Source organism: Homo sapiens, chromosome 3 (genome assembly GCF_000001405.40).
Source record: "Homo sapiens chromosome 3, GRCh38.p14 Primary Assembly".
NCBI lineage: Eukaryota > Metazoa > Chordata > Mammalia > Primates > Hominidae > Homo > Homo sapiens.
The window spans coordinates 20,187,464-20,203,458 of NC_000003.12; the positions used below are offsets into that span (position 1 = coordinate 20,187,464).

Genomic DNA, 15,995 nt, shown 5'->3' on the forward strand with positions numbered 1-15,995 from the left:
AAGGAACAAATAAATGAAAACGAAACAAATGTTTTGAATCTAGGCATTCTTTATGAAGGTGTGTTGTTGTTTTTTAAAGGTAGCTAACACATGCTTGCTCTAGTCTGGGTACCCATCCTGGCTTGAGTGGAAGAGGCTGAAACACCCTTCTCCAGCCAACAACTCCCTCGTTTTCCAAGTTAACCAGACCAACTCCATTAACCCTCAGTTTACTGCCACTGGGCAATGTGGCTTATATGTGTAGAAGCATCAAGAAGGAATGGGCAGAGAGGTTTTTTGTTGTTTGAGGTCAGAAAATTATGAAGTGGAACATGAGAGCAGAGAATAGGGCCAGCTTCATGAGCAGGCAACCGGTGCTTAGAAGGGCTGTACATTTGGTTTAATGCTCTGCTGTTGCCGTCTTGAAATGCTTAGGAGTTTATATTTGAACTTATGTTTTGTAAGTGATGTCTGATGAGACAATGGAGCAATCTTGTGAGCAGATGTGATTCATGCAATGTGTGTGTCTGTCACTGTTTCTTGCCCCATGTCATACAATGTTCAGGATGCGCACTAAATGGCCTCCATGAACCACTTATTTTGTAGTTAGGGACCTAAGTACAAAGTGCTCAGAAGGGCTCACCCTTGCCCTCTTGAAATTATTATTATTTTCTTTGAGACGGAGTTTTGCTGTGTCTCCCAGGTTGGAGTGCAGTGACATCATCTTAGCTCACTGCAACCTCTGCCTCCCAGGTTCAAGCAGTTCTCCTGCCTCAGCCTCCCAGGTAGCTGGGATTACAGGGACCCACCACTACGCCCCCTAATTTTTGTATTTTTTTGTAGAGACAGAGTTTTGCCATGTTGCCTAGGCTGGTCTCAAACTCCTGAGCTCAAGTGATCTGTCTGCCTCAGCCTTCCAAACTGGGATTACAGGCTAAGCCATCATGCCCAACCACGTTACTATATTTTCTAACCACTTACACTAAAAGTGATGGCATGAAAGGAAAAGGAAAGATAAGACATTCCACAATTCCTTTTCTTTTCAGTCTTTCTCTACTTATCGGTAAGCTGAAGGTTTTTGTCTTGGATTTTGAACAAGGAGCATCATATTTTCATTTCACATTGACCCACACAGATTATATAGCTGGCCCTGACCAAAGGCTTTGAGGTTCTGACTTTTTGAGGGGTGTCTTCCCCGTTCCCAATTTAAAAATGGGTCAGACTTCAAATCAGGTGTTTATTATAGAGCCCTAAAGAATAGAAATGGCTGAATTTAGGGGCAGTGAGGGAAAATACCACCAGAGTCCTAGCATGAGTAACTTTTGTACATCAAAATGTTCTACTGCCGCTGATTTTAGGGAACTGAATTACTGTTGGAATCAATAGCTCTTTTAAAATTTTGTGGAAACTACAACTCTTCCCAGGAAGAATGCACATATTCCTTTTTGAACAAAAATATGCATATTTCAAAGAGTACTAAATGGTGGACTGGAGTTTGAACCCAGGAAGCCTGGCTCCAAAGTCCATGCTATTAACAGCTGGACTATGTTCTGCGACTTCTCCCTTTTGTTATATCACAGTTGTACCCAGCCTAATTCAGAGATAATCCATGGTTTAATTATATCGCAAAGTACAGTGTAGGAACACATCATCTAGCTGACAAACTGAGAAGAACCTATGAAAGGGTAACCAATTAGTGAAAATTCTTTGTTTAATTTAATAGATGTTTAGAATAGTTATGGTATAATTCAAATCATTTTAACTTCTTAAAAAGCTTGCTCTCAAATGATAGTGAATATTTGTAGCTGCATTACTTTCAAGGTTTTTCAAAATGTGAATGCATGTTATTTCTACTTTCATTGGTTTTAACTTTATGATGTATTTAAAATATAATGAGCACTCACATTCTCCCCTGCAAGTTCCTAAAATCCCAATAAAACTGCTTGTTACTAATCTTTAACTGCCTTGTTCCTAACATTTATTACTATGTGCAGATTTTATGATTTTTATTTACGGAGCTGAAGTCCTGCACAGACTTGATATCTTCTTCTGATTTCTTCTTGGTGGTGGTGGTTGTTTTCTGACAGGGTTTGTCACTCTGCTGCCCAGGCTGGAGGGTAGTGGTGCGATCATGGCTTGCTGCAGCCTCAACTTCCCAGGCTCAAGTGATCCTACCACCTCAGCCTTCTGAGTAGCTGGGACCATAGGCATGCATTGCTATGTCCAGCTAATTAAAAAAAAAAAATCTGTAGAGACAGGGTCTTGCTATTTTGCCTGGGCTTGTCTCGAACTCTTGGGCTCAAACCACTCTCCTGCCTTGGCGTCCCAAAGTGCTGGGATTACAGGCATGAACCACCATGCTTGGACTTCTCCTGAATTTTTATCAATATTATTATTTTGTATTTTATTATTTCTTTCTGGTTCATGTTCTCTTGTGATCTCCTTATTTTTAAAGAAAAAAATTAAACTCCTCTCTGTTTATTTGACAATCAAAAATATATTAATGTGTCTCCTCTCTGGAATTAATATTTTAAAAAAATTTTTTGAGAAAGTTTAATACAATAGTTATCATGGAATGTGGTGCGGATTAACTTGAATAGCAATACAAAAATTAGTAATTTGGTGACCAAAATTTTCAAAACTGAAATACAGCAAGGCATCAAAATGTTTTGTGACTGTATTTTTTTGACGTCTGCTTTTATTAGTTTAGTACTTTCTTCAGCTCAATAGTGACAGGCTTTGGAGAGTTTGTACATGCATAAAGTGGGCAGAAGACTACAAGGAATAGATAGCACTTTATGCTGTTTTTATGTTTCATTTGTGTTTTTCAGAAATATGCATATGTATTGCTTTCATAAGGCTATTATTTATTGTATAGTGGAATTCATGTCTTTTTTTTTTTTTTTTTTTTTAGTGGTTCCCATTTCTCTTAGCATAGCGAGACATGTGAACAATTAGTTGAATTATAACAGCTAACACTGAATGAGGGCATACTTTCTGCCAGGAAAATACTAGTGCTTTATATGAATTAACTCATTTTATCCTTGTGATAAAGCTTATAAACCTATTTTTTCAGATGAAGAAATAGAGGCGTAATGTGGTGAATCTAGTAAGCATGAAGCCAGGTACAAGCTTTGCTGTCAATCTGACTCCAGGGCCTGTGTCCTTAATCATGATACTATATACTTTAAATACATTTACATTTATTGATGTTGCTTTGACCTTTGTCAAATCATTCAAATGTCTAAAGGCCTACCACATACAGATGTGAGGAAGTCTTTGTGATGGCTAATGTGAGTGTAAGTCCCAGAGGAAAAGGGATACATACACACATACCAGAGTTATGTCATTTTTGTTAAGGCTTTATGCTAGAAACACAAATTATTGATGCTATGTTATTTTGTTGCTAATTTTGGTTTTGTGTCATGTGCTGATATCATGAACCAGTAAACACTTATGGATCATTAAAAGGGATATAAGCATTAAAAGGACAATAAGAATAGTCGAGTACGATCAAAATCAGTGTTTAGTTCCATCTCAAGCAGCCTGGTAAGAATAAGGCAGAGAGAAATTTAACACATACGGAGAGAAGGCAATGTGAAGATGAAGATAGAAATTATAGTCATGAGGCCACAAGCCAGGCACAGAGAGGGTGATGTGAAGACTAGCAGAGGGAAAGATGTCACAAACCTAGGAATGCCGACAGCTGCCAGAAACTGGAAGAGGCAAGGAGTGGATTTCGTTCTGAGCCTCCAGAGGGAGTACCACCTGCTGACACCTTGGCTTTGGACGTCTGGCCTTCAGAACTGTGAAAGAATAAATTTCTTTCGTTTTAAGTGACCCCACTTGTGGTAATTTGTAATAGCAGCCCTAGGAAACTAACATACCACCTATCCAACAAAGGACTAGTCTTTATAATAAGTATATAAATATCCAAATTCAACAGGGAAAAAGCAAACAATCCAATTAGAAAATGTGCAAGGCTGGGCACAGTGGCTCATGCCTGTAATCCCAGCACTTTGGGAGGCCCAGGCGGGCGGATCACGAAGTCAGGAGATCAAGATCATCCTGGCCAACATGGTGAAACGCCGTCTACTAAATATACAAAAATTAGCTGGGTGTGGCACAGTGTGTGCCTGTATTTCCAGCTACTAGGGAGGCTGAGGCATGAGAATTGCTTGAACCCAGGAGGCGGAGGTTGCAGTGAGCCGAAATCATGCCACTGCATTCCATCCTGGCAACAGAGCAAGAGTCCGTCTCAAAAAAAAAAAAAAAAGAAAAAAAGAAAATGTGGAAAAGACATGCACAGAAATTTTACTAAAGAGGATAACCCGATGTCAGATAAGCCTGTGAAAAAAATGTTTTGACATGGTTAGTCGTCAGGGAAATGAAAATTAAAACCACAATGAGATAGCACTACACATCTATCAGAATAGCTAAAATAAAAAAATAATGGCAACAGCAAATGCTGGTGAGGATGCAAAGAAACTGGATCACTCAGACATTGCTGGTGGGAATATAAAATGATACAGTAACTGCAAAACAATTGACAGTTTCTTAACAAACTAAATATTTGATTACCATATAACCCAGCAGTTGCACTCTTGGGGATTTTTTCCCTTAGAGAAACAAAAACTTACGTTTGCACAAAAACTTGGACATAAGTACAGGCTTTATTGATAATAATTTAAAACTGGAATAATCCCAGATGTACTTCAAAAAGGGAATGAGAGTATGGTACATCCATACCAAGGGAAATAAATAAAAAGGAATGAACTACTGATACATAAACAGTTTGGATGAATCTCCTAGGAATTATATTGAGTGAAAAGGGTCAGTCCCAAAAGGTTACATACTGTATGATTCCATTTATATAATACTTTTTTTTCAGGGGTGAGTAACTTTATTTTGATAAAATCATAAGCTTTGAAAAAACTTGCTCACACCTGTAATCCCAGCACTTTGGGAGGCTGAGGCAGGCAGATCACCTGAGGCCGGGAGTTCGAGACCAGCCTGGCCAACATGGTGAAATCCCGTCTCTACTAAAAATACAAAAATTAGCCAGGTGTGGTGGTGCACGCCTGTAATCCCAGCTACTTGGGAGGCTGAGGCAGGAGAATCACTTGAACCTGGGAGGCAGAGTTTGCAGTGAGCTGAGATTGAGCCACTGCCCTCCAGACAGAGCGAGACTCTTGTCTCCAAAAAAAAAAAAAAAGAAAGAAAGAGAAAATACTTGCATGAGTAAAAAGAACTATTTTTTTAGTCAAAACAACCTATTGTGAAAGTTTTGCCTCATTTATTTCATCATGTTTATTTCTTTATATATAAACATAGTTTTTTTTAAGCCAGTCAAATTTAGTGGGGGGTTATATATCAACCTTAGTGACACTAATATTAATAAGTTCTGATAACCCACTACCATCAGACCAGCCTAAACATAGTTTTTTCCCCATGAATTAGTTGAGAGTAAGTTGTAGACATTATGTACCTGTACCCATAAATATATAGTCTTTGTTCCCTAAGAGCAAAGATATTTTTTACGATATAATGATCAAAATCAGGAAATTTAACATAGATATGATATTCCTACCTAAACAACAGTTTGTCTTTAAATTTTGTCAAGTTTCCCAGTAATGTTGTTTATGGCTTTTTTTTTTTTTTTTTTTTTTTGGCCCGGGATCCAATTCAGGATATTGCATTACATTCAGTTGTCACATTTCTTTATTCTTTAATCTGATCATCAAATCTTTCTTTTATCTTTCTTGGTATCAACAGTGTTTAAGAGTATAGGCCAGTCACTTTGGGAGGCCAAGGCAGGTGGATTGCTTGAGGTTGAGTTCGAGACCAGCTTGAGCAACATGGTAAAATCCTGTCTCTACAAAAAAATACAAAAACTAGCTGGCAACAGTGGTATGCACCTGCAGTCCTAGCTGCTTGGGAAACTGAGGCAGGAGAATCGCTTGAGCCTGGGAGGCAGATGTTGCAGTGAACCAAGATCACACCATTGCAATCCAGTTTTGGCAATGGGAATGAAATTGTCTCAAAAAAAAAAAAAAGTATGGGGCAGTTATTTTGTAGAATGTCCCCCAGTTTGGGTTTCTCCAGTGCTTCCTTGAAGTTAGATTCAGGTTATTCATTTTTGACAGGAATACAAAGTGGTGTTTGCTCTTTCTGTGCATCATATCTAGAGACCTATGCTATCTATAGGTTTAATTACTGGTGATTTCTTTAAATAAATGAGAATTAATTTAATCACTTTGAACTATTACATCAGTTTCAGAGGCAAACCAACTTCTGAGCTTTTTCATTATATTCACTTATTCCTTCAGTCATCATCTCATTTATATAAGTTTTTCTTCTTTTTTTTAACTTTTATTTTAGGTTGGAGGGTATATATGAAGGTTTGTTACATAGGTAAACTCATGTCACAGGGGTTTGTTGCACAGATTATTTCTTCACCCAGGTAGTAAACCCAGTACCCCTCAGTGTTTGTTGTTCCCCTCTTTCTGTTCATGAGTCCTCATCATTTAGCTCTCACTTATAATTGAGAACATGCGGTATAAGGTTTTCTGTTGCTGCATTAATTTGCTAAGGATAATAGGCTCCAGCTCCATCCATGTTCATTTAAAAGCCATGATCTTGTTCTTTTATATGACCGCATAACATTTTTAAAATGACAAAATTTTAGAAAGGAGGGCAGACTAGTGTTTGCCATGGAATAGAAATAAAGATAGGGAGTGGTAGGAAGAAGGTAGGTATGATTTAGGGCAACCTGAAGGATCCTTGTGATATACCGTTTCCCCCCAACCTCTAAAAAATAAATAACAGATTAATTGAGATATAATTCACATACCATAAAATTCACCAATTTAAAGTGTATAATTCAATTTTTTTTGTATATTCACAGATATTTGCAACCATTCTTCCAATCAATTTTAGAAAATTTCCACCACCTCAAAAAGAAATCCTGTAAGTATTAGCAGTAATTCCCTATTTCTCCCTCTACAGCACTAGTCTACTTTCTCTCTCTAGATTTGCCTACTTGATACATTTCATATAAATGTAATCATGGAATATTTGGGCTTTTGTGACTGGCTTCTTTCACTTAGCATAATGATTTTAAGGTTTATCTATAATGTATCACATAACCATATTTCATTCCCTTGTATTGTCCAATGAAATATGCCATTGTATTTTTCTGCCACTTTGTATTTATCCATTTATATGCTAATGGATATTTAGCTTGTTTTTTTCTTTTTAACTATTATGAATAATGCATCTATGAACAATTGTGTACAGGTTTTTGTATGGACATATATTCTCATTTCTCTTGGATATATATTAAGAATGGAGTTGCTGGGTCACATAGTAACTCTATGTTTAATCATCTGAGGAATTGCCAGATTGCTTTCCCAAGCAGCTGCACCATTTTACTTTCCCACCAGCAGTACATGAGGGTTCCAATTTCTCTGTTTACGCACCAACACTTGTCATTATCTTTCTTCTTGATTCTAGCCATCCTAGTGGGTATGAATGGTATCTCACTGTGGATTTCATTTGCATTTCTCTGATGGTTAATGATATCAAGCATCTTTTCATGTACTTATGAGTCATTTGTATATCTTATCTGGAGGAATGTCTATGAGACAGTTTGCTCATTTTTAAAAATTGGGTTGTCTTTATTATTGAGTTGTAAGCGTTCTTTACATATTTTAAATAAAAATCCTTTACCAGATAAATGATTTACAAAAATTTTTTCCCATTCTGTGGGTTGTCCTTTCACTTCCTTTCTTTCTTTTTTTTTTTTCTGGGGTGGAGTTTCACTCTTGTCGCCCAGGCTGAAGTGCAGTGGCACAATCCTGGCTCACTGCAACTTCTGCCCCCACTTTGGATTCAAGCGATTCTCCTGCCTCAGCATCCCAAGTAGCTGGGATTACAGGCATGCACCACCATGCCTGGCTAATTTTTGTATTTTCCGTAGAGACGGAGTTTTGCCATGTTGGCCAGGCTGGTCTCGAACTCCTGACCTCAGGTGATCTCTCCGCCTCAGCCTTCCAAAGCGCTGGGATTACAGGCGTGAGCCACCGTGCCCAACCTTTTTTGTTTTGTTTTGTTTTAGAGTCAGAGTCTCCCTCTGTTGCTTAAAGTCCTGGCTTCAAGGTATCCTCCCACCTCAGCCTCCTAAGTAGCTGGAATTATAGGCTCAAACCACATGCCTGGTTCTTTCACTTTCTTAATGGAGTACTTTGAAGCACAAAATTTTAAATTTCCATAACTTTATTGAAAATTTAATTCTCAATTACTACTGATTTATTTATTTGCTGTTCCTTGTGGTTTTAATGTCATCTCTCAGAAATCATTGACTAATACAAGGTTGCAAAGATTTATATCTATATTTTCTTTTAAGAGTTTTATAGTTTTACTTCTTACATTTAGACCCTTGTGTTTTATCTCCACTGTGGTAGTGGATATATAAGCTTACACAGGCAATAATATAACTTAACACACACACACACATACACAAAATACACAAAACAGATGAATGCTAGTCAAACTGAGGAAATCTGACTAAGATTTCAATGTCAATATCCTGGATATGATATTATATGATAGTTTTGCAAAATGTTACCAACAGGGTAAATTGGGCAAAGTGTGAGAGGGATTTCTTTGTATTATTTTTTACAGCTATATGAGAATCTAAAATTAGCTCAATAAAAATTTTAATTAAGAATAATAGTCTGTGGAAATTGCTACTTTTCCTTTTCTTTATTCAAATTGTGGGTAGTAACCTTTTGAATTTTTTTTTTCCATCTGAAGGGGAACACTGGAGTAATCATTGCTAGGCAAATTAAGAGCATTGTGTGGGTATAGATAATTCTTGTCTTTAAAAGTAAACAACAGGCATATAATAGTTATGGTGTTAATTCTAAATATACACCTAGCACTGTTTTAATGTATAGTACTGATTTTGATTTCTACCAATTGCTTTATCACAATGGCATATGTAAGTGCAAATTTGGTAGGGAGGAATAATTTTAGGTGGACCAATAACTTATACAAGTAATCGTATGTTGTAGTATATTATGCTTAATGTAAAATAAGAAGTAAATAAAGACACAAATGATCTAATTAATTCTTTAAATTTATGAGTTTTCTGGTATATAAACACTTATAGAAGGGTATACCATAATCCTCTATGTAGATAGCTTTTGCTGACATTATTAAAAATTAGGTAATAATTTACTTACCTATTAGCATATAATAAACATACATAGATTTAGCAAGAAAAATTGTGAAAAAGTTTAAAGTAGTTAAAAAATATTACTATGTGTCATCTCGAGTGTGGTCTTCCAGCTTATCTCAGCTTCTCATTGTTTTGGAGCTATTTTACAACTTTATATATTGTAGAAAATAGGGAATAATGCAAATGATTTTTTTGTCCATAGAAATGCAGATGATTGTGTCCAGTAGAATTCAATTAATTGTTGTCCTGAGGATAGATCTATTTTTCAGCTATTTACAAATTCATTTTAGTATTCCTGATTTTCCATATTCATGTGATTCTTCAAATTCTCCTTTGAACTGGTTATAACATCTTACTGATTTTCTCAATAATTGATGAGTTAAATCAAATTCTGACATCAATTCATTTTAATTTGTATGAGTCATGATTTTACCTCTAAAAAAATCCTTTAATAGATGGCTACAATATTCAAACAGTACAAAATAGAATAAAATGAAAAGTGAAAATCTTCTTCCCAGCTGGTGTCATCTTCATGGGCCTTATAGTCCCGTGGTGAAGACAGATGTTTATCCGAGAATGTAAGATAAATGTAAAACTATAATTCTGATAAATGTGATGAAAAAGAGGAACACAGTACTGCGAGAGCATACATAACAGGGTGACAACTTAGCCAGGGGGATCTGGGAAGTCTTCTCTGAAATAATAACAAGTGGCCTGAGATGTGACTATAGGTAGAGAGAACCATTATTTATTAATATAAAATGAGACCCAATTGCTTCCTCCATTAATGCTTGGTGGTAGATTGTAGGCATAAAAAAAAAAACAAAGTACCTGGGTTGATGCAGGCCTAGGAGAGAAGGATAGAGGGTAATTTTAGGGTACTGGCAAGAATATTACTAAAATAATCGTTCATGGAATTTAAGATAGGTAAGTAAGCAAGTAAAAAAAAAAACAAAGCTGATGGGTGGTTAAGACTAATGGCTTGAAAGAAAATAGAAGTATTCATAAACTTGAAGTTCTGATAAAGTTAACAATACAAATTAGAAGGAAAGACTCTTATTAGAGGAGCCTGGGTTGTTTGAAGAGCAGTTACAGAAAATGAAAAGTTCAAGGTGTCCCATCGGAGTGGGTGGCGAGGGTAAAATCAAGGACATTGGAGATGAAGAAGACAAGGATCTAGGAGGTCATTTATTTGATTGCTTGCCTATATGGACACTGAGGTACCCTGGCATTTATGGCAGGGATTGACGGTGAGTCACTTGACAAGTCACAGCTGAATGTGGGGAGTGACTTGAAAGAGTTATAAACAGGAAAAGGTAAGGGGAGGAGTAATGGCCTGGAGGAAGTCCAAAGGTGCAAGGAATGAATCTACCACCACCTGAGAGGGCTACAGGGCCTGGAGTGCCATTGGGAAAAATCTCAATTTAAGTTGATTCAAGCTGTCCTTTTATTTTCCTTTAAACTGCTTGTGTATGTCTCTGCTGATTTAAAAGTGGACTGTTTGTCTTTTTCTTATTTACTTTTTTACTAGCTCTTAGTAAATTAAAGAAATTAGCTATTTGTCTGACATCCATGTACATTACAAATAATTTTTCCCATTAGTTGTGTTGGACTTTGTTTATGGTATTTTTGCCATGTAGCAGTTTTAAATATTTATGTATTGGTTGTATCAATCTTTCATTTTTGTGCTTCTGGATTTGTGTTTCTGGGTTTCTGCTCATAAAGACCTTTCCCCTCTAATATTATAAATAATTCCACTTGTGATTTGTTCTAGAAATTTGATGGATTCACTTTAATAGTCAAATCTTTGCTCTACCTGGAATTCAATTTGGTATAAGAGTGAGGAAGGGATTTAGCTTACTTTTTCTTTTCCAGATGTGTGTTCATTTGTTCCAACACCATTTCTTTACTGGTATGAAATCTCACATTTGTCATAATAAAATTCCAGTATGTATTTGCATCTATATTAGAAGATAAAAAGGTTCATATGAGACTGCATGATATACTCAAGAGGCATGTCTCAGAGTTAAACAGACTTTACATCCTGGCCTTTCCTGTTGACCTTGGCCAAGGAGCTGAACTTTTCTGGGCTCTAGTTTCTTCATCTTCAAAATGGGAATAATAATAGCCTTTGAGGATTAGTGACAATACATGACATATATGAGCCACTGGGCTAGAGGAGAGTTAACTTCCATTAAAACAAGCCTCTAGAAACCAGGAGTCTTCCTAGTTGGTGATGGGGATCCTGATACCCACCTAAGTCTGGCAGGCCTCCTTCCTGAGGCTGGACATCTCCTTCCTGTAACCCAGCAGAAAAGTGATGGTCTGACTTCATCTTCATCTTCATCTTCAAGGACCTTTGCAATCTAGCTCCTTACCTGACTGAAGTTGAATTTTCTTTCTCAACCTTTCTGTAGAATACTTTCCATCAATATTTCTCTATTCTTTTCTTCCCATTACTTGTCTTCTTCAAATCCTTTATTTTGATGTTGGACTATATTGTCACATTTATATATTGGAGTCTGTAGGAACATTGAAAAGCTAGACCTGGACTAGTGCCTAGGAAGGGGGCAACTAAGCTGCTATGACAGCTGGTGCAGGCTAGGAGAGCCAGGCAGCTCCAGGCACAATGTCTTAAGATTACAATAACCATAGAATCAGCTCACGTGGTTGTCGGAATAAGGAGGTCAGGCCTGGTGATTAGGACATAGCAGCAAGCGCTTCCAGGTAGCAGTTCATTAACAACCAGGCAGGGAAAATTATTAAAGGAAGGAAATTTGCACATACTCAGTTAGACCATCACTTTTCTGCTGGGTTACAGGAAGGAGATGTCCAGCCTCAGGAAGGAGACCTGCCAGACTTAGGTGGGTATCAGGATCCCCATCACCAACTAGGAAGACTCCTGGTTTCTAGAGGCTTATTTTAATGGAACAGACTTGGCATCAGAAAATCTGGATTTTAATCCTAGCTTCATCTAGCTTCATCTAGCTATGTGGCCTCAGTTTCTCATCTATAAAATGGTGATAATAATTTCCAATAATTATTAATTAATTAAATTAATTACATATGAAAAGAACCTTGTATAATAATGAAGAATATTGATTATAATACTTTAATTATTAATATAGTTAATAAATAAAAAAAGAGTAGAGGATCCTAACAAAGGGACTTTACCATAAGTCAGGGCTTGGGCACAATAACCTGAATTATGGTCAATAATAGTGTAAGGTACTATATTATCTTAAGTCATTGGTGGAATGAACTGGTGATGTAAATCTATATGTCAATCAACCAATACCATGAAATGGCATTATTATTTCTAATGTAAATGGGACCTATGGGGTCCTGGATAAAATTCTACTGCCGTATTCAGAATGTTAGGCCACTTTTAAATGGTATTTTTAGTTTCAAGGATAATGTGTAGAAATTGAAGAGGGCTCAGGCCATAAATTATTAAATGCATTTGGTCATTTGTTTAGCAAATGTTTATTGAATGCCTACCCAATGAAATCACTTCCCTAAGTGGGCCTTGAGGAGATGGTAATGAATGGGATAGGGGCTGTCTCTGTCTTTTGGAGACAAGCAACTCACATGTCAATTAGTTAATTATAACTGTAATGCATGCTAGATGAAGTACAGGATGCTAAGAATGCGTCTAATAAGGGGAACCGGTACAAATCTAGGGGTGGTTGTCAGGATGTTTAAACTGAGATCTGGAAGATGGGGAGAAGTCATTTGGATAAAGTAGAAGGGAAAGCACATTCCAGGAAGGAGGACAATGGGCTGAGGCCCTGAGGTTGAAGGAGCATGGATTTCCCAGAATTAAAAGATGTTTCGTGTGGCTAGAGTGCAGAGAGGGATCAGTGTTGGAGAATTTGACTGGTGGAAAATCAGGAAGGCAGGACCTTCTGGGTGAGATTAAGGAGTTTAGATTTGCCTTTTGAGAAATCGGGGAAACTTATGCGCATTAGTGAAATGAACTGAGAGATCACTCTGGCAACAGTGTGGAAGTGGGTGGGCAGCTGTTCCAGGAGGGATAGGGGAGACCACTTAGGAAGTACTGTAGTGCCCCAGATAATAAGTGATAGGGGCTTACACTAAGGTGGTGGCAGCAAATGGAGAGATGCAGACCAATTTGAGAGACATAAAATAGCTCCCTTGGGAAAAGAGGCTACTTTTTTCCAGAGAAGAGAAGGCAAAGGTTTTGTATGTTTTAAAGTGTTACCATGAAGAGGGTATTTGGCTGGTTGTCATCTATCTCCACAGAGAAAGAAAGAAGAAATTACCTTATCATTTAATGAGGCAGAATTTGAGATCTTTATTATCATAACAGACTTGCCAATAGAAACTGTATAATTTTTATATGAGGTACTTTTAAGATGCAGAAATCAACCCTGGAGGCAAGGAGATGAATGCGATGATCCCTTGAATTATTTCCTACTTCAAATTATATTATTGCTCAGTAAATTTGCCTGGAGCATCATAATGTCTTAGGAATAATGGAATATATTCTATGTAAAACTCATCTCAATCTTGAGCACTGAGTATTTCCAGAAGTTTTGCTGAAGTATTTTCACATTTTATAAGTGTGAGAAAGAGAAAAGCAGACCCTGACAGCTGGAAAGTGTCCTGGCACACACAGCTGGACCATGGTGTTGCTGAACATAAACACCAACACTGGACAAGGCCACTCTGTGACCATGGTGGACCAAGACCAAAACAAAACCACTCTATAGTCAGGGTTGAACACAGACAAAAACATGAGCATTATCCAAACCACAAAAATGGCCAAACATCTCCATATCCTGGCTGATATAACTGACTGCCACTTTAAAAAAAAAAAAAACAATGACAGCTTTAGCTTCACCCCAATCATCTCATCATCTAAAACAGACAAGAATTAAGGACCCAATCACAGAATTACTCCACTTCCTGATAATGTCCAATCCAGAGCACAGCCCTGCTTTCTGGAACTCTTCCCCAACTCACCTAATCAAACTCTAATCCTAATAATAAGCTCTTTCTAATACCTCTTACTGAGATTGCCCCATAGTTCCCTGCATGGTTCTCCATTGCTAGAAGTCAAGGATCCCAAATTTGTTCAACTGCAGATGTGTTCCTGGCAGTCTTTGGCTGGAGGTCATTGGCAAGTGTAAGGAACAGACTGTAGGTTTTGTTCTTTTTCTCCCCCTTTTGTTATTGGAATAAACATTTTGAATTTTCTATGTTCTGCTGTATCATATAGCTGATTATCTTTTAATTTCCTCTATGATTCCTTGATATGTGTAAGGTCACAACATTCTGGCTTTTTAAAAACCTTGTAACCCACTTCTTTGCCTTTCTATATCATCAAGTTCTTATATCATGGGAAACATAATCATTGACAAAAAATCTTTGACTTTTTTGTTACCACTTTCAAATAGAAAAACGATTAAGGAAATGATATAAAAAGTATAACAATTTTAACAACTCAGCCAAATCATACTGCTTGTTTTTGTAATTATAGCGTCTTCCCTTATCCTCAAGGGATATCTTCTAAGCCTACTAGTGGATGCCTGAAAACTCAGTTAATACTGAATGCTACATGTACTATGTTTTTTCCTATGCGCACATTTAATTTATAGTTTAGACATAGTAAGAGATTGATAAAGGTAACTAATAATAAAATAGAACAATTATAACAATATACTGTATTAAAAGTTATGTGAATGTGATCTCTCTCTCGCTCTCTTTCTCAAAATATTTTACTGTACTGTACTCACCCTGCTGTTTGGCCACTGATACCTGAAACCATGGATAAGTGAGAGACTACTGTGTAAGGTTATTCTATTTGAAGCAAAAGTGGCTTTGTGTATGTGTGTTCAAGAGTCTTAGTTTGCCCTTGTTTGTGGGATATTTCAAAGATACTTCAGTCTTCTGTATCCGTGTATGAGTATTCGTTGATGATGCTCATTATTCATTATTTGTGCATGGGCAAACTGCTGAATAGTGACTTCGTATACATAGCTTTCTCTTTTAGCTACCTCTCTATGTAGGACACAGTACTCAGCAACGTCTTGTTTATAGTAGATTTGGGACAGACTTTGAGAGGAATTTGGCCATCTGTAGGTACCTACATTAAATGGCTCTCTGTGTTTGGGGAATGTTGCTGTTGAGAGAAATACTGCAATGTCAAGGACTTTATTTCAGAAATACACAAGTCCTCACTGCAATTTGTATCACATTCCGGTGAAATATAAATGCTCAAATAAAAGCGTAATGTTTATCTGCATGTATTTTTTGGTCTGCTTGTGTAATTAAAGTGACCATGTACTCATTATTCACATGCTTTTCTTAAGTCAGTGAACACTCCCTTCATACCCCTGTGTTTTTCTTGATGGAATGCTTTCCCTTTTATGAATCAGAAGCAGTCAGAAAAGGTGAAAGAAGGAGGTAGCTGAAAGAAGGAGGCAGCAGGGAATTATTATATGACACTGGTTGCTAAATAATAACTCTACTGCATCATTTTACCATGCTTTTGGGATCAGAATGAAGATGAGGTAAAGGAGGCGGTCTAAGAAAGAACAATTCTTTTTGCAGCCCAAACTGTTAATCACATTCTACTACATAGTAATTAGTATCTTGAATACTCCTAGGATGTTACTTCTATTTTGACAGAAAGAAAGGACACCAAGAATGTGGAAAATAATTAGATATGATCAAGATTTGGAACACCTAATAGAAAATCATTTCTATTTTATTTCTTGAGAGAATATGAACATTGCTTTTTTTT

At 36.9% G+C, this 15,995-nt stretch overlaps 1 pseudogene; it reads right to left on the bottom strand.

The window, feature by feature from the left end:
* RNY4P22 (RNY4 pseudogene 22) lies at positions 5,319–5,411 on the bottom strand (annotated as a pseudogene).